At 43.6% G+C, this 24559-nt stretch overlaps 1 protein-coding gene across 12 annotated transcripts in view; it reads right to left on the reverse strand.

Annotated features, from left to right (window-relative positions):
* Positions 1-24559, reverse strand: part of SRGAP2B (SLIT-ROBO Rho GTPase activating protein 2B) — a 208093-nt gene that overhangs the window by 7869 nt on the left and 175665 nt on the right. For 7 of the 12 annotated variants that reach the window (XM_005277421.5, NM_001368324.2, NM_001385226.1 and 4 more), the window contains 4 exons: positions 19536-19598; positions 10703-10918; positions 9935-10063; positions 1960-2184 (listed from right to left, as the gene is read on the reverse strand). In XM_005277421.5, coding sequence (XP_005277478.1) covers positions 1960-2184; positions 9935-10063; positions 10703-10918; positions 19536-19562 — 597 coding nt within the window. In that variant the 5' untranslated portion in view covers positions 19563-19598. The other 5 variants (NM_001366280.2, NM_001330684.2, XM_047428008.1 and 2 more) reach the window with 3 other exon arrangements.

Genomic DNA, 24559 nt, shown 5'->3' on the forward strand with positions numbered 1-24559 from the left:
GAGGGAAAAACCACCTCCAAGCCTGTTCCTTTAAGAAGTAGCAGAGCTGATGATGATGCATGCTTTGGCAGTGGTCCGCTACCAGGGTGCAAGGTAATACACTTCAGCTGCACTCCGGAGTATGGAAATAAGGCTCTGACAGGGGGAGGAGGGGGCTTGAGCACCCAGCATCTGGATTCCTCCTTTATGGAGACAAGCTGTTTGGCTCAGAAGGCAACTCAGTCACTAACACCAGAAAATGTATCACTCCACTCAGCTGGTCCCCAAGTTCCACTGATCCCTGGGAAGGAACCTCAGTGACAGCTGGAGAAGGTGCTTGGAAGGCAAGTTTGACCAGAAGCCAGGGCAGGTGAGGAATGGGGCTTCCTGAGGCTTGGTGACACCCCTTCCCCCAATTCTAATTGCACATGCTGCCATCTCACTTCTCCATCTGTTCAGACACTGACATTTCCTAAGCCACAGCAATGGAAATGAACTGTAAATGGTTTGATTTTCCCCAAGAAGGAAAGGAAGGAAACCAACTCCACATTTCTATCTCCAGGACAGCATCTCACTCTCCATAGAGGCCAACTGATGACAGCAAATCCTCTGGTTCCACTGCCACAGCTGTCATTCTGGAGTGGGGATTTCTAGAGTCTGGATGCTAATCTTAAGGGAAGCATCATTCCTGAGGAGCACACATGTTGCTGTTTTTTGGTCCCCGGCGTCCACTCCTCCTTTTTTTGGTAGCTTTGGTCTAACTGCCCTCGGTGAGGGGAACCTCCCACTCCACAACTCAGGCCACGTGCTTTGCATGGACCCAGGCATAAGCACTTTACCCAATCAAAACCAATGAGACACACAAACTTTATGGGGGCTTTGAGGAGGGAGGCAGAGACTCTTTCCACTAGATTTCAACCTACCAGGGAAGGCTGGAAATGCAGTCACCTTGCCTCCATGGGAGAATGGCCTGTCTGAGAATGGAGTTAACACACAGGAAGTAGTACAGAGACAGCAAAACAGTGTCTTGGTAAAATTCCTCCTCCTAAAGCCAACTATACCCAAAGGTCCATCTTGATCTTTTCTATCGCATAAGCCCTATACAACCTCCTTCTAATTTCACCAGTAGGAGAAATGGTGGCTCTTATCCACAGGAATGAGGTTCACTCTGACTTGTACACACAACCACACAAGTGGAACCAAAAGATTCAGAACAATGAAAACCCAGGAGCTTCTCCTGCCTCTCACTTTAGCTTTTTTAGGCCCTTTTTATTCTAGTCACTGGAGGCTAAGAGTCCAAAACAAGGCCCCCATGTTCATGCTCCCCTGTCTGGGCAACCAGCATCAGGCCTTTGGGATAGCATCTTAGCTCCTTTCCTTCCTGCAGGTACCCATTCTTTTTTATTCAATACCCAAACAAAACTATACACTTCATCACAGTCTTCTAACTTCAGGAGAATAAGATTATTCAGAACTCTGCCAAATGCCAAAAGATCACAGCATTCCCTGCCTAGCCCTCGCTTCCCCACTAAAGCCTCTAGGATGTGGCCCCACCTCAGCTCTCATTTCTTCTAGCCTCACCACTGGGAGCGCCCCCCTCCCTCACTTTCCTTTCACCATCCTGAACTGTTGGTAGTTTTTAGAATATACCTGCTGTTTTTCACCTTCTTTGATCCTGCTGGGCCCCTTTGGATACCCCTCTCTATGCATAGTTCGAACCCTCCTCAAGCCTTAGCGACCTTATTCCCCAGACTGTAAGCTCCCCGAGGGCTTTAATCCCCCATGTCTGCACCCAAGCCCGAGTGTCTGACAGCAGGCACTCACTAACTGTTTGCTCAATAAGGGGAATGTGCCTCACCCACCTGACAAAAAGCCGGGCCCAGGCCTCTCCCACCCCAGAATAATGTGCCTTCTGTGTAATTAATCTAGACAAGTCCACTCAAGCCCCTTGAGGGTGGGGGTATAGGGAAAGGGCCTCACCATATCCCCCATGTGGGGCTGAAACTCAAACTTCATAGGGGGGCAGAAGACGTTGTTGTACATCTCCATGAGGCGCTGCTTGTCACTGGTGGCATCCAGGTTTTCTACTGCATTCTCGATGGCATCCAGACCCTCATGCTTCGACTGTTCCAGGTTTAACTCAGCAGAGAGGAAGGTGCGTAGAGCCCGGTTCAGACTTGCATGGTAGCCTAAGTCACAACACTGCTGTGGGAAGGAGAAGGCACATGAGCACACCATGGACAGCCCCAAGGCTTGGCAGAAAAGGAAGGTGGTCCAGAGGGCAGATCTGACCACATCAATAGGCTTGGCTGTGCAGTAGAAAGACGGCTGACATTCCGACTTCCAAGGTCTGGGTGAGAGTTCTCAGTTCTTGACTCCCAATTCAACGGTTAAACACACCCTACAGGGCTGTGAGGTGGTTAGGAGGAAGAAGACTCATAAGGATAAAATGACATTATTTAATTAAGCGCTATTTCATAAACATGAGAAGAATTGAGAGTTAAAGAGAATCCTCTTTCATTTTCAGGTTTATCTGGGGTTGTCATTATAACAAAATTCAACAATAAAAATACAACCTGCCACTCACTGAGGCTTACTGTGGTTAAATCACTATATAGCAACCAAGCCAGGCCATTTCAGGGTTCTGAAAGCAGGAGTATTGCAACAGCAGCTAATGTATGCAAGCTCAACTCTAGATGGGAGAAGGAGAGAATGGGGAGCTGACTCTGTGGGTCATCATCCCCACCAATGCCCAACATCCTAGGACAGGCCTTAGCTGCAGACTAGGGTTTCTGACATGCCTCCTCCTTCCTGGCATCTGACAACAGATGCCCCTGCACTACAGAAATAGCATTTATAAGACTAAAAAGCTCTACGCAAAAGTGTTACTGGAAAAATTCATGCCATGTAAAGGATTCTGATTTTTTACAACAAAATGCAAAAAGAGGCAACTGTATAAAAAAAGCACTGGCGCAGAATCAAGCAACCTTGGAAAAGCCACTCCCCTTCTCTGGACCTGTTTCTTCCATAGTAAAATGAACAGATTTGGCCAGGCTAGTGGCTTTCAAGCAGTAGACCAGAGCTGGCACTGAAGCTGCCCTTGAGAAGTGAGTAAAAGGACAACCCAACTACTAGGACTTGGAGTCTTCTATTCCTCCTTCAACCAAGCCAACCCTGCTCTTTTTTCTATTTAATATTTAGGGATTCTATGTAAGGTTTGGTTTGAAGAAAGAATTCTTCTGTTAGAGAAAAGTCTGAAAATCCTTGGACTAAATGTAATCCCTAAGGCCCTCTTCAGCAATGGCATTCTGTAACTCTGTGATAATATTCCCCATCCCTCCCAAAAGACCCAGAGATCCCAATTCCTTGGCCATCCATCATCCTCTCTATTGCTTAAGCAGCTCTGAGGTCCGGGTCCTAAGAAGAAACCTCAAAGAAGAATCTATGCATAGAGTAAGGCCATCTGCCTGATTGCCATTTCATTGCACAAGCAAGCATCAAATTAACTCTCCCCACAGCCTTTTCCTCTCATCATGATCACACTGGAAGCAGCTACTATTGGGGAAGAAAAGGCATATGATGTGCCTCCTCTTTCCTGGCATCTGACAAGAAGCTCAGTGAGAACATCAGTTGGGTTGGGCTCTGGGTTCAGTGCCAACAGGCCCTGGCAGCTGCCTGGCTGCAGTGGAATAACAGCAGTTACAACTTAACTAGAGGCAGAGGATGGAAAGACATTAAATTCAGTTGGGAGGGAAGAGCAAATGGAAGCTAGACAAAAGCGGCTCATTAGGACGCTGCACGGGCATGGGCTCTCTGGGAGATGCTGCTGGTCTCACCAGGCTGCCCTTGAACCTGTAAACCTTCCTGACTAGCTCTATGTAGACCCTGTTGATGAGCTCTATGCCTATAAGTCTAATGAACAGAAGTAACACGGCCCACAGAGTGTATGAGTGTGGGTGGAGGGGGTGTGGGCAGGGGGTAGAATCTGGGAGAGAAAAGTTACCCTTCAAAAAACTTTTACCTGTTTTTGGTAATTTCCCTTTCCTCTCCATTCTTACTACCTCTACCCCTATTCATACCCTCACCGTCAGCTTCACTGTCCTAAACTGTGACTTTAATTATGGCACTTTCCTGTTGAAGAACCTAAAATACCTCTCATTTTTTTTCCCCAAGGTAAAATCCACCTTCCTCAGTTTTGAAATTTAAAAAATGCTTCTATTTCACTAAGTATGCTTACTATACGTCAGTCCATGTGCTAAGTGCTTTATATACATTCTACATTTTAATCCTCATAATAACCCCAATGAGGTTGGTATAATCTTAATTTTCCAGGCTTGAAAGCTGAGGTTCAGTGAAGTTAAATAATTTGAGCAAGGTTCAATAGCCAGAACAAACTGTAATCTGTCTTCAATCTACCCATCCAACATCAACTCCCTTTATTTTCTTCTTCAGATTCATCTGCTCTAATCCAATGAGATACTCTCTGTTTAGGGTAGAGTATTAGTCTTCAAATCAGCTATATGGCCATAAGCAAGCTACTTAATCCTTCTGGGCCTCAAATGAGGATAACACCAGCCACACAGGTTGTTGTAGGCTAACAGGCAATATATTTACAGATATTTGGTACCATGTAGACACTTTAAAAAAATACTAATATAGCTCCAAATCCACTGACCTCTGCCCTTCAGCTCCCAGAATGTCCTTTTCCTTAAATGTTTCCTATGCCTCTCACCTGTTGGAATTGGACCAGATCTTCAAGATCCAAATTAAATTCTTAGCCTCTGGGAAGCCAGCCAACCCTGCAATCCTAGACTCCAGTGACCCTGGCCTCTACTTAGAACCACACTAATCTGCAGCTTTCATATGACAAGGAATACGCTTCTTCATTCTATGACTTGCCATGTCATATCACCCCAACCAGACTAGCTTCTCACTCTTCTTTACATCCCTCAGCATTAGGCCTTGCTCACAGCAGGCATTTAATAAATTTCAGTTGACTGATTGATACCACAAATACAGATTCCAGCCTCTCAGGAAATAAAACATTTAGGCTGAATACTGACCTAAGTCAAGTGGGTAGATGGGGCCAGTGAAGCCATTTGTTTTGCTTACTCTATGGCCAAAGGGAGGCTGGGAGTTTTCCCAGGCTGGCGCACTGCCTCTGTTTATATAACTATTCTGTAGCTTCTTTGTGCCAATGAGTGAGGGTCTGAGTCACAATGTGCCCCTGGCTCCTCTACACCTCTAGCCAACCAGGCAGATTCGGAAGAGGTTCTCCAGAGTCTTGACTATCTATATACCTGTAGGGGAAACAGCCAGAAACCGAGCCTTCAGCGAAGAAGCAATATCTGGCAAGGTTGGGTAAATGAGATTTGAATATTTCATCCTGTTCCAAGAAGAATCCCAATAAGTACAGGAAGCACATTATTTTGCTCACAGTGGGGACAAAGCAGGCTTTCCATGGCTTCTGATGAGTTCTGTGGCCACGCTGGACTCCCCTGGCCATTTCTGGGTTATATAAATGTTTGATGAAAAATCTCTCAGGGGAAATCAAATTTTTGTAAGAAGTTAATGACAGCCCATCCAGATGTATGATGACTTGAGTTGATAGCTCATTAACCCTTTCCCAGCTGATATCTTCACCCAGAGACTCCACAAGGCCTGGAAAGGAAAAATGGGTGTTTCACAACACCCACTTCAAGTTCACACAAAAGAGAAAAATAACTGCCCTTAATGACATTTCTTACTGAAACAGCCAAGTTCCCTCATGTCCGACTTGGGTGCACATGGTGTCACAGACCTTCCATACATGTACACGGCACTTACAACACTCCAGCTATGCATGAGGACAATGCCCTGTTCTTCATTCATCCATCTGCTCCTGGGTTGAGAGAGCCAGAAGAGTATGGGGGAGGAAAATTACATTCCAGTGAGCCTACCGTTCTTAGATGCCATCAAATGAGCTCAGAACGTCTTTTTGGCCTGAAGTCAAGGTTTCCCCAGTGTGGCAGATGCCTCACGTGGATTCCTACAGTCTGAAGTTTAAATCTTGCACTATACTATAAAAAGAAGTCGGAGGCTAGTCCTTGGTCAATGTAATGGCATCAACAAAAATAACTTCTTTTCACTTATCCTCAATGCCTTATGCACACATTTGGCTTCAGAACCACTAGGAAGGAGGCAGAAGGCTGTACATGACACAGATGGCAATGGACTGCAACAGGATTCATCCCATGTCTTAAAGCAAGTAATGAATAATGTTAAGATCAGGATGCCAATATCCCAGGCTCCTCACTTAGTCCTGCTCTAACTGCATCCTTTTGGCCCTTTTTATCTCATAGGTCAGCAAGAAAAAGAAAGACACTACCGATACATGCAAACAACATGGATGAAATTCAAAAACATCATGTTGGCAAAAGATGCCAGACACAAAAAAGGATAATCCCATCTTTGTGAAGTTCTACAACGGGCAAAACTAATTTATGGTGAAAGAAATCATAACAGTGGTTGCCTTGGGGTGGGGGACTGGCTGGGAAGAGACAAGAGAAACTTTCTGAGGCAATGGAAAGATATCTCTTATCAAAATATTTATTCTATATCTTGACATAGATTACAAAGATGTACAAATTTGTCAAAACTCTTGAAACTGTAACACTTAAGTTTAGTTACTGTATGTAAATTATACTTCAAAACCATATTGAAAGGTACAAAAAGAAAAACCGATCTTAGCTTAGATGATCATCTTCCTCCTCTTTCTATTCCTTTCTTCCTTCAGTAAACACACTATGTGCTCAGCTATATATTAAGCACTGGAGGCTACTAAGGTAAAGAAAACTCTTGGTTCCTGCTCTCACAGAACTTAACAGATGAGACTGAGATCTTCCTCTGTTCATAGTACAATGGCTCACAAACACTTTTTTGACTCCCAACTCACAATAAGAAACACATCTTCTATTGTCACACACTCCCCCATAGGATGTACAAGTGTGTACATACATATCTAACATAAAAGTTTCACATAATCTTACCAATGTGATGTACTCTAATATTTTCTTTCTTATTCTAGTCTCATCTAGTCATCTGAAAACACAGGTTAAACCAATAAAAGTGATTTCCTGACTTTCTTAAGGGATCTGACCAATGGTTTGAAAAATGTTGTCTTACAGCCTATGACTACCTCTAGGGTGAGAACTACTATAATCCATTTTTACCCCAATACTGAGCACGTGGCTTCTCCCTAAATAAATATTTACTGAACATTTATAGAGCAGAATAATACAACTTTAAAAAAAATAATGAATGTGTCCATATCCCAGGAAAAACAACAAAAACCCAACCAACCAACAAACTAAAACAAGACACAACCAAAACAGCAGCAAAGAAACGAGGCTGAGGCAGGCGGATCACGAGGTCAGGAGATCGAGACCATCCTGGCTAACACAGTGAAAACCCGTCTCTACTAAAAAAATACAAAAAATTAGCTGGGCGTGGTGGCGGGTGCCTGTAGTCCCAGCTACTCGGGAGGCTGAGGCAGGAGAATGGCGTGAACCTGGGAGGCGGAGCTTGCAGTGAGCCGAGATCGCACCACCGTACTCCAGCCTGGGCGACAGAGAGAGACTCCTTCTCAAAAAAAAAAAAAAAAAGAAACATGAGAAACTTTATTACTACCTATGTAGCCTTTTGATCCCAGTGATCTAGACCCACACCCTGCCAAGTACTAAGGCAGCCTCTTTTTCAATGGCATGTCACACCACATCCTGTGAAATTAGGCTCTTAGCAGACGTTTTTTTTTTTTAAATGATGAAAATAAGGTACAAAATACCTCGCTTCTTGGACTGATTTTAAAACGCTTGGTTATACCTGATGGAGAATCTATGGATTGCAAAGGTTGTGGCTGATACAGCAGTAACCCCTCCCTTCCCCTGAGATCAGTATTTTGGTGAAAAAGGTAGGGAAGTTGCCTTGAGTACAAAAAAAGAGAAGAGGGCTAACCAATAGCAGCGGTGTGGCAGACAGCACAGTCTGAATTTTTACCAAATGCGAGATAAATAGCAGAAATTGTGCATAAGAAAGAATGGATTCTCTTCCTTATGCTGAGAACAGGCCTCTCTCCCAACAATGAGGAGCTCTTCCCCTGAGGAGGAGAAAGGATCTTGTTTAGGGCTTTGACCTCCATTGAAGGACAGTGTTCAGATTGTCATCAACAAGCAGAGAGAACAAAGAGGTACCAGAACAGGGAGCAAGGCTCTACTAACCCAGTGAGACAATGACACCTAGGGCATTAAGTGGCTGAAATCTACTGAATCAAAAATCCTCGGCTAAAGGGAGACAGGAATCTGTATTTTAGAGAAGTTCCCCAAGCAACTCTTACGTGAGGCCAGATTTTAATACCAGGGAATTAGTCCAGTTCTTCAGTTAGCTAGAGGAGCTTGGGAGTGGGTGAGAAACAAAGCTGGGTTCCAGAACAATTCAGTGACAAGCCTAGATGACCCAGGTGGTGATATAACAGCAAGACTCGGACCCAAATCCCATATGATGTTGTGAGGTGTGGCAGGTTTGCTTGTGGAGAAACCAAGGCAGGAAAGCAAGAGTGGTCGGGCCAGAGTTTTGCAAAGCCCAACTGCTGCCAACAAGACCCTGAAACAAATGGCAGGCCTCCAAGATGAGATACACTTGAAGCCCCAGAGACTGGGATGCTAAATTGGCTGGCTCCAGATGCCTCACTTTGATGACTGGAAGGAGAGGTGAGAAAGGGTGTAATTACATAGCTTCACTTAGGTGTGGCTCAGGACCTGGGCCAGATTGGAGTCTGTAGGTGAGAGGGCTTGTAAGACCCAACTGTAAGGGGAAGCAGCAGGAAAAACAAGGCCAAGAATAACTCACAGGCAAAAAACAAAAAGCTTATCCCTGCGCTTGCCCCTTGCAAAACACATGTGCCTATTAACCGCTTTCCTCAATCCCCTTTGCATCACATATTTTTAAAAATGGGCCAGATGTCAGGGGGAGCTGGATACCTTCCTGACAGGACCCTAATTTGCGCATAACCTTGGACAAGTGAGTCTCGTAGTCCTCTGGACCTTGAGCTTCCTTATCTAGCAACTGGAGACAGCAATGCTTACCCATAATGGTGATGTGAGAGTCAAATGAGTTAACACCGAGAAACCTTAAATGCTATACAAATATAAGGGATGGCATTGTAACTCTTTAGTTAAGTTCTTGCCACTCACTTCTGTGCAAGAGAAGCTGATGTAATAAAGTATTTCCTAGGTCGGGTGCAGTGGCTCACACCTGTAATCCTAGCACTTTGGGAAGTCGAGGCAGGTGGATCACCTGAGGTCAGGTCACCTGAGGTGAGGAGTTCCAGATCAGCTTCACTAACATGGTGAAACCCCATCTCTACTAAAAATACAAAAATTAGCTGGGCATGGTGATGCATGCCTGTAGTCCCAGTTACTGGGGAGGCTGAGGTAGGACAATTGCTTGAACCTGGGAGATGGAGGTTGCAGTGAGCCAAGATTGCACCACTGCACTCCAGCCTGGGGGACAAAGCAAGACTCTATCTCAAAAAAAAAAAAAAAAAAAAAAAAAAAGGAAGAAAGTATTTCCTGGCAGATAGACGAGTGTAGTGGTTATGAGCCTGGGTTGAGTCATCAGGCCTAGGTGCAAATTTTGCCTCTGTCATTTGTTAACTGACTCTGACTAAGTCATCTAAACTCTCTGTTAATCTGTAAAAATATAGATAATAATGCCTTCCTCCCAGAATTCCAGTTAGGATTGAATAAGTGTGAAGTGTTTCACTTGGTGCTTGGCAAGCACCCTGTTGGATCATGGCTGCTATCTTCCTAATTGTTCTCAAAATGCACCAGATTCCTGAACAATAGTATCAGGGAATGTCTGACGAGTATTCTGAAACCAGAAAAGAGGTGCCCTCAGGCCCTTGGCTTTAAGCACTTACATCAATAAGGTCAGATAGGTCATGGATGTAGTACTTGAAGACAGATGCATTGGTTGCCTCCAAAGCCAGCAAGTACTCATTCCGGGCTTTGATGGCCTTCAGCTTATTCTCCGTGTACTTGGCTTGGCGCTGAAAAGGAAACAGAAGTTCACTTTTACCTTTTTTTTTTAAGGGGGGCTTGTTCTCTAAAAGATAAAAGTACAGTGTATTCAAGAACTACAATTGTGTTGCTACTCCCTATGCGCATCTGCCTTAAATTGGGTTCTAATTCTGTTTAATGAGATTCAAGGGCACAATGTAGATCAATTCAGGAAAGGTTAATGAGGCTCCCTACTTAAGATGTGTGCCCCACTTTGATTCTATCTTCAAATATCATTCTTCATTCTTGCAATGCCACTCTGAAGGAGGTACCACTACTCTTGCCCCTGAACACCTGATACCTGAAACCAAATCCTGGGTTTACAGTCACCCCCAACCCCTCCAAAGCAATAGGATATTGAGCTCTATTTGGAAAATGGATTGGGAAAGGTGACTGCTGTTTCTTGGTTTTCTGCTAGAGGCTAGAAACTTGGAACCCACGTGCCCAGTTCTTCCAATACCTAGTATTCCTGCCAGGGCACAGAGCAAGGCCTCATTTTCAGTCATTAGGCACTAAAAGAACCCAGAGCTTCCTCGTCTGCTCTTCCCAGTGACTGTTGGGAAATTCCTATCAGCCATGCCTTACCGAATGTTGCTTCCCAGCATCTACAGCTGTGGGAGCCTACATACCTTCTCCTTCATCTTCTCAATCTTCTTCACTGAGCTCCTCCGGACATGTTTCTCCTCAATGCGAACGTTGGCCGTGGAGTCAGGGGAGCGTGGGGTCTGCCGGTCCTCCTGCTTTACCGATTTACCAATTTGCTTCTCCTCCTGCTTCTCCGCCTCCTTTAGTTTGCTCTGAGCACTGATGCTGTCGGCATTGTACATGTGATATGTCTTCATGACCTGCAAGACATCGCCCACCCCCACCCCCAGAGGTCAAGCCAAGGGTGTCATTTCTCTGCTTTACAGACTAACAGACTCAGCTGGAGCTCTCCCCCATGAAGCAATATCCTCACACCCCTAAGGGAAAAATCCAGAAGTGTTTGGTTCAGCAAACACAGATTAAAGACCACTCCAAAGCACAGGAAAGCAATATGTGAACTGAGCCAACATTTCCTCTTATTGAAATAACTTAATGTCTATCCATCATGTATTATTTATTTCTATTCATTATCATTTGTAATCACTTCTCTTTAATATTGGCCAGGTGATTTCTATCACTTAGTCACCTCATAATACTGAGTAGATGGGAAACAACACCACCACTCTCAGGCCCCAAGGGCAAAGCCTTTCTGGGCTGGTCAGGAACCCCGAAGAGGGCAGTGCAGCCTATGGAGTAGCCTATGCTTTCTGTTACCTTTCAGATATAAAATAGGGAAGAGGAAAAGCTTCCAAAAGCTCCTTTTACTGGCCTGGCATTCTGGGGATCTGTCTGTTCTGCTTTATCCAGATCAAACACCCTCTCACAGCAACTAAAGCAGCAGCAGCAATTGCAATGCCAGTTATCATTTACTGAGCACTTAGTATATTCCTGGCTTTATGCCAAGTACCACACAACACATTTTCTCATTTCATCCTTAGGACAATTCCACAATCTAGACAACAACCCTATGAAGACTGTAAGCCTTCAAAACAATTCAGGTAAGAGTCTGGGAAGGAATAAAATCCATATCAAGTATAACTGGAATTGCCACAGGAGGGAAGTAGTATAAAAGGTGAAGGATGATTTTCCATCAAAGCAACCATCTAGGAGTCCAATCCTTTCTCTTAACAGGGAAGCCAGGAAGCCTAGAACTCAAGCTTGTTTCCAATCCTACTAAACATACTACTTCCAGCCACCTAGTGCCTGCTCTACTCTGTGGGAACTTTCTGTTTCCACACAGGGAGTTCACGAGTGCTGAAAGTGTGATGCCATAAGATTTCTTTGAGAGGGAGAATTAGAGAGTAGAAGTTGGGTGTGTGTGTGCGTGTGTGTGTGTGTGTGTGTGTGTGCATGTGTGTGTGTAACACAGGAGTGCAAAGGTACAATATTATTATTAATATCTACCACTTAATAAACATTGTGTACCATGGGCTTTACGTACATTACCTCATTTAATTCTTACAATAACTCTGTGAAAGACACTGTTATTATTTCTATTTCTAAAGATAAGGAAATAAGGCTCAGAGAGATTAACTATCATACCCAAGGTCATACAATGAGTAAATGGTGGAATCAGGATTCAAACCCAGGTCTGTCAGACTCCAAAGACCACATTCTTAGCCATTAAGCAACACCGACTCTCCTCTGGATAGGACTGGAGCTGAACTGGTTGGGAGGAAAGGTTAAATATGGTCAAGATATTCCTGAAAAGAGAAACTGGTTCCGTGTATGAACCTGAGTTAGAGAAGTGTCTCAACCTGGGGCTATTTTGGCCCCCAGGGGAAATGTGGCAGTGTCTGGAAATATTTTTGATTGTCACAACTTGGGGATTGCTACTGGCATCTAGTAGTTAGAGGTCAGGGATGCTGCTGAACATCCCATGCACAGGACGGCCCCCACAACAATTAATTATCTGGCCCAAATGTCAATGGTGCTGACGTTGAGAAAATCTAGCTTAGAAAGACTTTGTGGGTATACTAATCTAGCCCCTACGATCAGCTAGAGGCAGACGAAAGAATAAAGAATACTGGGACACTGACAAAATCAAAGTACATTAGAGTCTAAATTATGTCTCATTTTGAATGCAGAATGTTTTAAATCAGTTTCACCTCATTCTGAACCTAACACTACTTCCCGTAAATTTTACCAGGATAATACTCTTCATATTTTCTATACAGAAGAAAAAATACTTAACAACTAATGGCGTTTAAAAGCCTTTCTAAGTAATTCGAACAGACCCCCAGCTTTCCAGGTTAACTAAGAAGTGGAAAAGAGGCATCTGTTATCTCAGCTGAAGAAGTGTAGATAGGAGGCTCCTCTTTTTTTTCTCTTTTTCCACCTGAATCTGACCATGGGATTCAAAAGCTTAGTGAGAAGTTACAAAAGTGAGTGCTTTTTTTCTTTTTGAAAGTGATTTCCTATTTCATGAAGGTGCATGATAAAGAGAAAACGTTATGAATAAACATGAGATAAAAAAGAGGTCAAAGAATAGCACTACCAAGTCAACAAATGAAGTAACAAAAATCAACAATTTACAATGTTACTTTCCCCTAAAAAACTTAAAGAACTTTCTTGTTAAAAGAGAGTAAAACGCTACTTTGCCTAAGAAACTATACATTCTTCACGCTAAGCTCTACTTCTTTTGTGTTTTCTTCTCACAGTGGAGAAATATGTCATATACACAATGGTAGTTTTACAAAGTGGTTGCCCAAATGACTGAATGACACTGAATCTCTCTTCTGGGTAAATACTGGAGAAGCTTTATTAGTGCCTTCCAGCTCAAGAGAAAACTGAGGTACCTAGAAGCTGAAGCTTAAATAAGTGATGCAAAAACAATTGAAAAAATAGGAAAGTCAAGACAGGACTTAGAAATGTATATAGATACAGATATACATGTTAAATATATATTTATAAATATATATTTATAGTCAAGATAGGACTTAGAGAAAGCCAAGATAGGACTTAGATATATATATCTATGTACATATACATATGTAAATATATGTATATCTATATATCTATGTCTTAGACATATAGCTACTCATATATGTATATATAGATATGTATACATAAAGATATACATATACATACTTCTATCTATATATAGATAGGCAAATGCAAACTATGGGGAAAAACTGAAAAGTCTAAATTCTCAGTTCTGCAAAGAACATTCCACTTTACTTTGAAAAACTAAACACTGAAGTCACATATTTAGCTCTGCTCCCTCTGACAGCCACACTAAAATAATAGGAAAAAAAAGGTTCTAAAATGATTATCATTTAGGTATAAATTGAGAAAAACAAAAAGAATGGAAGCTGAAGCCGAAAAGCGGGTAGGCAAGCAGTAACTCATCTACTTGAGTCCTAAACCAAAACCAGAGTGAGCCAGGAAGCAGCCAGATTTATATCACAGAAGCCCGAAGAGAAATAAGTAGCAGTGGGATGAAGGTAGAGCTAAACACAAAATAAGCTATTGAAAGTCTGAGAACAGGCCGGGCATGGTGGCTCATGCCTGTAATCCCAGCACTTTGGGAGGCCCAGGTGGGCGGATCACGAGGTCAGGAGATTGAGACCATCCTGGCTAACACGATGAAACCCCGTCTCTACTAAAAATACAAAAATAAATTAACTGGGCGTGGTGGCGGGTGCCTGTAGTCCCAGCTACTCGGGAGGCTGAGGCAGGAGAATGGCATGAACCTGGGAGGTGGAGCTTGCAGTGAGCCGAGATCACGCCACTGCACTCCAGCCTGGGCAACAGAGCGAGACTCCATCTCAAAAAAAAAAAAAAGGAAGTCTGAGAACAGTGAGGCCCCAAGATCCCCTCTCCCATTGTAGTGGAAGACTAGATGAGAGGTTTATTCTGTTAGAGAGGGTCCATGGACTAGGGGATACAAGGTTCAGCTGAGGATACGGGTATACTGAACTTCAACAGGAGGATTAGCTGAAGTCTATGTTAAATTTTGAGATGGTCTAGGCCTCTTCACAACTCAGCTCCCAGACATGAGTGGGAGATCAAAAGTGTGATCTCTCAGCAATCTGACCATCCAAGATAAGAGACCTAGAAATACTAAAGTTGGGGCTTCCACAAGGACACAGCCCAGTTAGAACACCCTACTGTGAAGGCCACAGCTGACATAGAATCTTTTAGTGCCTCACTTTAAAATGTGAATAGGCAGCTAAGAATGACCAGGCATTTAAAGGAAATGTCTAATATGAAAGACCAAGACCAAAACTAGCAATTTAGAAGAAATATTATACAACAAGAAGAAAAGTTTGAAAACAATATATCCATAATAGCCCTGGAGAGATAAATGAGAAATAAAACGATACTGCATCATGAAACAAAAGTTGGATGCAACAAAAAAGGGAACATGTAGAGAACAAGAAAAGAGTTCTTGGCAATAAAGATTCAATTCAAGTATCTCTTCAAGGAGCCTGACTTCATCCCTGTCCTCTGTGTAGACATGTAAATGAGTTCTTGTCACTTCATTTTTCACTTGATGCTTTACTTTTCTGTCTCTCCCTATTAAAACTAAACGCCTTGAGGTCAGAAACATCTCTTATTTGTTCTTGTCTCCCTAGTGCCTAGTGCCAGAGTCAAATAGGCAAGCAGAGTTGAGGGACTATTAAGTGCCATTGTTTCAAGGGAACAGGTGCTAAATACCAGTCTGAAGTAGCTCTGCCAGCACACAGCCGATGCTCCAAGCCAAGGGGATATAAATTTAGGGGGAGTACAGAAGCATAAGGCCTCTGGAATAACAACAGCCCCAAAGTGTCCCAAAGCCTCTTTTTTCTCAATTCTAGAGCTTCCTTGACTCTTCATACTCAGCCAATCCACACTGGCTTCAGTGCCTCCATGTACACTCCTTCCTGTGGGGGTTTGCTGGGTTTTTCCAGACACGACCTCTGAGTACAACTGAGGCAAAGAATCCCAGAGTTCTTTGGGAAGCAGTGTGTTCTGACTTCAAAGGCATTCCCGGTGCATCAGTCAGAAAATGAAAACCACTTATGCCATGGCTTACATACAAGCCAGCTCATTATGGGGGGAAAACACGTGGAGAAGAATGCTCGCTAGGATTGCTCTCTGAATAGCAGCTGTGGGAAGCAGGCCCCAGCACAGAATGCCAAGTCAGGGAAATCAAAGGCCCTTCAGGCAGAAAAGAGGAAGGTGCAGAGGGGCAGCTGGCCACTCATGGCGGCATTCTGGGCCCGGTGCCCAAAGGCATCTTTATTTGGGAACACCTGGGTCCTGCTCCTTGGATCATCAAGGTTCAAAGGTACTAAAATTACCAACCCTTGGATAACTAGTCCCCTAAAAAAAGGTATTCATGGGCATTAGGAGCAGATGTGAAGGACATGAAAAAACTGGGTGGGTTTCTTATATCCTTGGTTTCCTTTTTCCAGTGACCCCAAATAACTTCTATTGCCTACAACGTCATTGAAATGAGAGGCCCTTCCCTGCCTTCCTGACAAGCAAATAATGGGAAAGCTCCTTCTAAGAAACTCTCCCTTGTTCTCTTCTTGACTCCTCAAAGGTGTGCATACAGCAAGCAGCTTCCCAAAGCTAGCATGTAACAGGCCCAGCTTCCCACCTGATAAAACCACTCTCCCATGCAAGGTGACCAATTAACCCTTTTTAACCTAGAACTTTTCCAGTTTCAGCACTGACAATTTCATGTCCCAGGAAACTCTTCAGTACTAGGCAAAGAGGGACAGTTAGTCACCGTAATCCCATGGTGCCTTATTCAGACCAGTCCTAAACCTATCTTAATCTCCAGAAGAAATAATTCTATTCTCTGAACTGCTATTTTTTTTTTTTTTTTGAGACCGAGTCTTGCTCTGTCCCCCAGGCTGGAGTGCAGTGGCACGATCTTGGCTCACTGCAAGCTCTGCCTCCTGGGTTCATGCCATTCTCCTGCCTCAGCCTCCTGAGTAGCTGGGACTATAGGCACCCACCACCATGCCCGGCTAGTTTTTAATATATTTTTAGTAGAGATGGGTTTTCACCGTGTCAGCCAGGATGGTCTCGATCTCCTGACCTCATGATCCGCCCACCTCAGCCTCCCAAAGTGCTGGGATTACGGGCATGAGCCACTGTGACCGGCTATTCTCTGAACTTTCTCTTTTTTTCCTTTTTCTTTTTTTTTTTTTTTTTTGAGACAGAGTCTCGCTCTGTTGCCCAGGCTGGAGTGCAGTGGCACGATCTCGGCTCACTGCAAGCTCTGCCTCCCAGGTTCAAGCCATTCTCCTGCCTCAGCCTCCCCAGTAGCTGGGACTACAGGCACCCGCCACCATGCCCAGCTATTTTTTTTTGTATTTTTAGTAGAGACAGGGTTTCACCGTGTTAGCCAGGATGGTCTCGATCTCCTGACCTCGTGATCTGCCTGCCTCAGCCTCCCAAAGTGCTGGGATTACAGGCATGAGCCTGGCTCACTGAACTTTCTAATGGCCTACAGACTCTGGAAACCTATTTGATCCTTAGCTATAGCCTAATATTTCAGGAAGTATAACTCACCCAACTACTCCACCCCCTAGGATATAGAAATACCAGTGCATGGAGTGTATGCAGACACTAAGGTCATAGAGGTTTGGGGTATCCCTCAAGCTCATACAGCTAGTAGTCAAGACAGGGTAGAATCTAGGCTGCTTAATTCAGGAGACTCTAGTCACTAGACCAGCATTTCTCAATCTTGTGGGTCAGAAGATTCTCAATGTCTCTATATTGACATTGTGGGTCAGATAATTCTTTGTTGTGGGAGCTGCCCTGTGCACTGTAGGATTTTAGCAGCACCCCTGGCCTCTAGATCATTAGATGTCAGCAGCACCTTCTACTCCTCCAGTCGTGACAATCAAAAATGTCTTCAGGCATTGCCAAATGTCCTCTCGGGGTAAAACTCCCTCTGCTTAAAACTCCATTTGGACCAGAATGTTTTGACTTCTCTGAAACTTCCTAGTGCCTCTACTCTTTTTTCCCTCTTTCCATTGCCTACTAGAGGAAAACATCACATTTTAATTTTGGCCTTTAACAGATTATGAGGGTGTATTCCAGCTCACCTTATGGCAGGGGATACCACACTCAGGCAATTCTCAGTTTGAACATCAATGGGAAGATGTTATGCTCTATGTTGACCATGGCCTCACAATGGCCAGTAAAGTAGTTGGCCAATATTGGGCTGTCTTAAGTCTGCAGTCAGAGGTAGCAGCTCGGCCCTCTGCAGACCAGAGAAATAAGTTCCAAGGTTTTCTTCCTCACTCAAACACAGCTTACGCCCTTTCACTTATTTTTTTTTTTTTTAAAGCACAGCATATGAAGAGACATAGGACCCTGGGTAAAAGCTAACAGATCCTTAGACAGTAGTCTTCTTCTGCTGCCTTGAGTCCCACTGAAGAAGTGGCAAGGTTTGTTGGTTATCCAAACTACTCCTCCCCAGAAACAGCTGCAAATAGTAGAGGGTCAAGATGCTTACAGGAAAATAAAAGAATTTATACAATGACTACATGTGTCATTTTCTATCTTAGAGAATTCTCTGCTAGGAGAAAGGAGTAATAGCTCTTCTTGGCGCTTAGAAATTGATCTAAAAGAGCAGAAGTAAAGCATTAAAAAGACAAGGTTCAGGAAACCCATCCAGTCTGAAAATGGCTCACATCGATGTGTTTCTATTTTAAAAACCTCTTAACTTCATTTGAGAGAAATGAAAACTTGGGAGTTGAACGAAAGGTACCATCTATCTATGCTTGGCTTCAGAGCAGAAGTGTCACAGAGTAGAAATTCAAAACAAACTGAACATCGCTGGAGATAAGTCAGATGACTACTCTACCCTATTTACTTGCTTAACAGTTGCCATGACAAAATGGCCACACCTAGGCTTCTGGATCAGCAACATCTGATCCCAAATGCCTGTCATGCATGTCACCACTGCCTGTTCTGTGAATTAAAAAAAAAAAACAAAGGAAGAAAAGAAAAGAAAAAATGCAGCAAATAAGCAAGTAAACATCAGAAATCAGTATCACCTTCAAACAGGATGGAGAAACCCTGGAGAATGACATAGTAGGCTGGCACATCCAAGCTGGAGAAGGGGCCCCTGAAAGGCATTAGCTGTATAACTTAAGTATTCCCTGTATAGCAACAGGAATTTCCTTGGTGTGTATGTGTGTGAGTGTGTGTTTGTTTTCATTATAATTAGAAAAACATGGCTGGGGAACAACCACCACCACCACCTCTCTGCGCATGAATTAACACGCACCAGCCACAGGCATCATGTGCCTGAAGCGCCAGTCATCTCAGAACAGATTGTGTTCTCTTCTCCAAGCCCGCAGCCTGCCTCGTCACTGAGGTTTGGCTTTATAAAACTCCAGGAAGCCAGTGCAAAGCTCTCTCTGCTCAAACTGGTCCCTCTTACTGGGGGCATTTAGGACTCTGTGCTGCCCTCTAGAGCATTTGTTCTAGTCTCAAAGCCATACATCAATCCAAGATCTGATGAAAAACCTAGAACAATAAAGCCTTTCCGACAGGCACATATTAATAGTGCAATGCAGGCTACGTTCCTTGCCATTAGTTCAGGGTCCCTGGTTTGCTGCTAACGGGGTCCATTGTGCCAATGACCTAGACTTTGGCTGGTCTCTAGTAATTATGCCCCAAATAAAGCCAGGGTGAGCTTGCATAGCTGAGGAGAAAACTTATTTTGAGGAAGTATTTTTTGACTCATTCCGTTTTGAAAAGACGAGTGTGAAAAAAGAGATGGGTGGGGTCACCCCCAGTGGGGACCATGCACTTGTCCTCAACCTCAGTTCAGTTCTGTTGCTGATGTACTATGGCTGCAAGCTGCCAAATGCTGCTTCCCTCTGCTTGTTAAAGAGCCAAGCAACCCATCTGATTTACCGAGTAGAGCTCGTTCAGGACCTTCATCAAATCATCTTGGAGCTGCTGGCCGACTTCTTTACTCTGCAAGGAAAGAGGAATGAAGGTTAATTGGGAAACAGAAGAGAGAGGAGGGAGCAACGAAGGCAAAAGCCACACTGGCTCTACAAATAACCCAGACTCAATTAAGGCCCATTATTTAACCCAGCAAATCAGATAACCACTCCAATCAGACCCAATTATGGTCAGATTACTCAAAGAGTTTTAATAAAATGAAATGTGCCCTCTCTATAGCCTAGCAAAGGCAATTGCGTAGAGGGAAAAAGGGTGGTAGCCTTTGGTTTTTCTATTGGTCCCCAAAGAGCAGGCCTGAAAGCCACATCCTACCTAGCAACTGTTGTTAGGTGGAACATGGTTTCTCAGATACTTGCAGTCAAGCATTCCAGAAGATTTCAAAGGAAAGTAAGATGTGTAATGGGATGAAATAGGAAAAAGTATATAAACATTCAGGGACTTCAAAGTCCCTAACTAAATAGAAAACTCCAAGCAGGATGGAACTATATTTCTTACTTGCTTTATTTCTACCCAAAACTCACAAGGCAGCGGTATCTCAATATTGACTGCCTGAGAGATTAGCTGTTACTAGATGCTGAAAATATATGTTAAGGGGTCTCCAACTAGTTAATCTTGAGCAGTGATGGCTCCTGGGTTCTTTGCTGCTGCCACCCAGGGCTGACATCTAACTACATAGAGCAGTAGAAATAAACAATGAGGGCTGGGCACGGTGGCTCACACCTGTAATCCCAGCACTTTGAGAGGCCGAGGTGGGTGGATCAGCTGAGGTCAGGAATTCGAGACCAGCATGGCCAACATAGTGAAACCCCATCTCTACTAAAAATACAAAAATTAGCCGGGCCTGATGGCACACGCCTGTAGTCCCAGCTACTCAGGAGGCTGAGGCAGGAGAATTGCTTGAACCCAGAAGGTGGAGGTTGCAGTGAGCCGAGATTGCGCCATTGCACTCCAGCCTGGGTGACAAGAGTGAGACTCTGTCTCAAAAAAAAGAAAAGAAAAGGAAAGGAAAGAAAGGAGGAAGCAGGAAGGAAATTGTCACACCTTCTATACTAAGTGTTCTATGCCAAACCTAAGAGAGCTAAAACTGATTGGCAGCATGGGTCATTGAGAGGGAAAGCCCTTGTTTTATCTTTTGCCAGCTCCTTCTAGATCTTTCCTACCAGAAATTCGGGTATCAAAATGCCATCCTAACAGAAGTTATAATACTGTTTCCCATCCCTCCCACCATAGCTGCTAGCTCCCAGGCAAAAAAAGGAAGGACTTTCATGTCAGATACACAATCATTTAAGATCTTGCTTTTTTTCAAGGTACATACATCTCTACTTAAAAAATACTTTTTTTTCTGATTACAAAAGTAATGTATGTTTATTATAATAAGGAAACTAGAAACCTCAAAAAAGAAAACAAAAGTAACTCTTAAATTCCTACCACTAAGAAATCACCACTCTAAGTGTTGTTATGTATTTTTCTAATCTTTTCTAGTTTTACAAAATTGGGATTGCATTATAAATCCTGTTTTGTAACTTATTCACTTAAACATATGTTGTAAACATTTCCACATGTATTATTGTTCTATAGCATTATAATACGTTCTATTGATGTAGCTCCCATTCTTGGACATTTACTTCACTTCTAAATTTTTGTGATAAAAAATGCCATATCACATTACTTTGTATATGATCTAATGCACACACCTTTCATTATTTTTTCCTAGAAATAACATTGCTGGGTCAAAGACTACCATTTATACCACTAAAATGCCTTTGAGAAAAACGGTACCAATTTAAAATACCACCAATAGCATATATGAATGTTTATTTCACATTTTTTTGTCTTGACAATTTGATGTGGTATCCTATTGTAATTTGCAATCCTTTGATTCTAATGAGCCTGAGCATTTTTAAAAATGTTTATCAGTCATTTTCATTTTTCTTTTATAATCTGCCATTTTCTTATTAAGGTGTTCTCTGCCCATTTTTCTATTAAGGTATTCATTATGGAATATAACCTATGTGTGGCCTCTGTCATGAGTAAGCATGAATTTTTACATCTGATAGTGGGGAAAGGGGTGGAAGGAGCCCTAAATTAGCAATCACAAGATTCTCTTTCTATTCCTGGCTCCTGCATTACCAAAGAGGTAACTCTGGACAACCTGGTTAACCTCTCTGGCCCTCTGTTTTCCCTTCTATAAAATGAAAAGCTTCAGCTAAAACATTTCTAAAGTCTTTTCCAACCTCTGCCATTCTATGATTCTACATGATCTTCTGCCTGGCTTCTAGAGTCCATATTAGCTTCAAACATCCCTCCCTTTAGTGTATGGCTGGTTGGCTAGAAGATAATGAGCAAGTTCTCCTCGGGGACCCAGATGCTCTACAAAATGGACGGGTTCAGGGGATCTTGCCAGTCTTAAATTTATCATTCCAGGGTCTCTCATCCAATGACCTCAACTGCTGGAAGAAGCCACAAGAGGGAATGCCTTTCATCTGTGATCTCACATACCAGCCTGTCCTTTCCATTGAGAGGAAAGCTGAGCTCCACTGAAGCAACAGAGGCCCAAGGAGGTGAAGTGAGGCAACATGACTCACTCTGAGCCCCAGAGTCAGCAACAGGGTCAGGAAGTGACCATGAGTATCACTTCCCACCGCCCTGCCCTCCTGCCTCCGGGCCATCTCCCCCTGCCAGCCTATCGTTTCTTAACTCCTCCTTATGTTTGAATGGCAGAGGTTAAAGGAGAAAGCTCCTATTCCTCTACCCTGTTGCTTACCCATGACTTAAATAACCTAGCCCCAGAGTGGGGGATGGGGGAAGAAGAGGAGGGAAAAGTGTAACCAAAAAAAACAGCAATTAAGCCCAGGCAGATGTTTCCTTTCATGTACTGATGAGTTGGGAGGACCACTCAACTATTATCCCTGTTTATTTGAACAGGCTGCTGAAGTGATCTGACTTACTGCTCCCTCTGGCTGAGGGTTGGGCTGGGAATACATGTGTAGCGAGCCCACTTAAAATGTGCAATACAGCCTCTAGCAATCAGGAGAAATTCTGACACTAGGCCAGAGGCAGGAAATTGCCAGTGTCTCTCCTTTCACAGATGATAAAAGGCCATTCGTTCTCTGTTTCAGAAACCTTAACTGTGTGCCTTTGGGGGAAAGCGTGGCCCCAGGAAGGGCTTCCGTGCTGGCCACTGCAGTGGGGTTGACAGAGCTGGTAAGCCACAAGGGGGCCCCACCCAAAGACAAGGGGGACATTTATTCCTGGGAACAACAAAACCTGATGAGGCCGAGTACATGACAATGAAGACTGTAGAGCTTTTCCGTTCTCTATAAAAAGGCAAGGGGTTTCTAGACAGGGAAGAAAAAGAATTTACAGAGCAGTCTTTGTGTACTAACATACAGCCTGCATCTCTTTTCTTTAAAATTTCTTGGAAGAGAATGAGTCATCTCAACATTGCAGGAAACCAAATAGAAGTTGGGGGAAAAAATTACTTTGGACAAAGTTTTTCTCTTAAATGTTTGCATAGTAATCTTTGCCTGGAAAAAAAAAAGATGCCTAAATTTAGAATAGAGATGTGGTACAGTTAACAATGCTGGTTCTATCGGATGGGAAGTGTGATGGTGTGCTCAGGCTGGGATCTCTTATTTTGAAACTCACCACAACCATTTGGCCAGAGTGCTTCACTGGCCTCCACTCTGACTGCTGCCGAGGGGCTGATCAGAAGACAATGAGATTGCAACAGCTTCTACCAGTTGTATGCTGACAAAATGGGTAGGAAAGCTTCCTTTTTCCAACAGATAACAGCATTGGAAACAGAACTGAAATGCACTGTGTCATCTCATCTCCCCAAGACAAGACTGTAATGTTCCAAAGCCTCCTTGCTCACAGAAAGGATGTAACAGCAGATATGTACGGAAACATAAGGATCCTAGGCATCCGGGATGCCTGGCCACTGGGCTGGTCACTCTTCCTTAGACCTCTTTAAATCAGTACATTTCCTGAGCTTGGATGGGTTTGTCTATTAGCGTTTCCCAAAGAACACCAATTATGAAAGAGGTTTCAGACCTGTTCTCAATAGGGAGGTTACTTGTTACCGATTCTCTAGTTATTTAGATCAGCACTCATGTGCTTTCCAAGTTGGGGGTGGGACTGTTGTTAATTGGTTATCTACATTTCAAAGCTGTATTTTTTGACAGGCACAAAAGTACCCCCTATTTGTAAGAAAGAAGAATAAAAAGAGGAAGGCATGTCTCTGCCATGTGGCGAGAGCTCATTTCAGCCCCATCCCAAGGCTGAGCCTGTCAGCAGGTAGGAACAGTAGGGCCATTTAGTTCTCTGCCATTTAGCCTGTGTCAGCAGTTTTCCAAAAAAGAATCCAGTTTTCAAGGGCACATATCTCCCCAACAACCACTACTATCCCCTCCCCACCCTAAAGATTGTTCAGAGACCAACTGTTAAAAAAAAAATCCAGTTTAAAACTGAATTTATGTTACAGATTTCAGAGGAAAGGAACATGACCCTGTATTAAGCTCTGGCAGCAGAAGCACCACCATACATAAGGTGGTGGTTTCAGGGGCATTCACTAACCACTTCAAAGAGGCCACATTTCAGGAGCTGGCACTTTGCCTGAAATGCTTTTGGTGGGGAGGAGAGGGCTAAAAGGAATGACTGTTTGGTAGCAGGGCCAGTGCTAGGTGATGGTGGGCACTGTGTCTGGTCCTCTCTCTCAGCTAACTTGGGCCACCAAAATAGGTGGTACAGTGTGAGGCTGTATGCCGAGGCTCTGGGGGTTCAGGGGGTGATGATCCAGCAGGTCAGAGCTCAGAAATGACTTCTAGATTTCCCCTCCACCATACTACCTGCATATATGCAAGCAGGGCTCTTTCTATTCAGCATTCATTCATCGGTGAGGATACCATGAGACGGCTCTGAGAAAGACTGAACTCCAGTTAGGACCTTAAACTATGAGAAGCCCAAGG

Source organism: Homo sapiens, chromosome 1, assembly GCF_000001405.40.
Source record: "Homo sapiens chromosome 1, GRCh38.p14 Primary Assembly".
Classification (NCBI taxonomy): domain Eukaryota; kingdom Metazoa; phylum Chordata; class Mammalia; order Primates; family Hominidae; genus Homo; species Homo sapiens.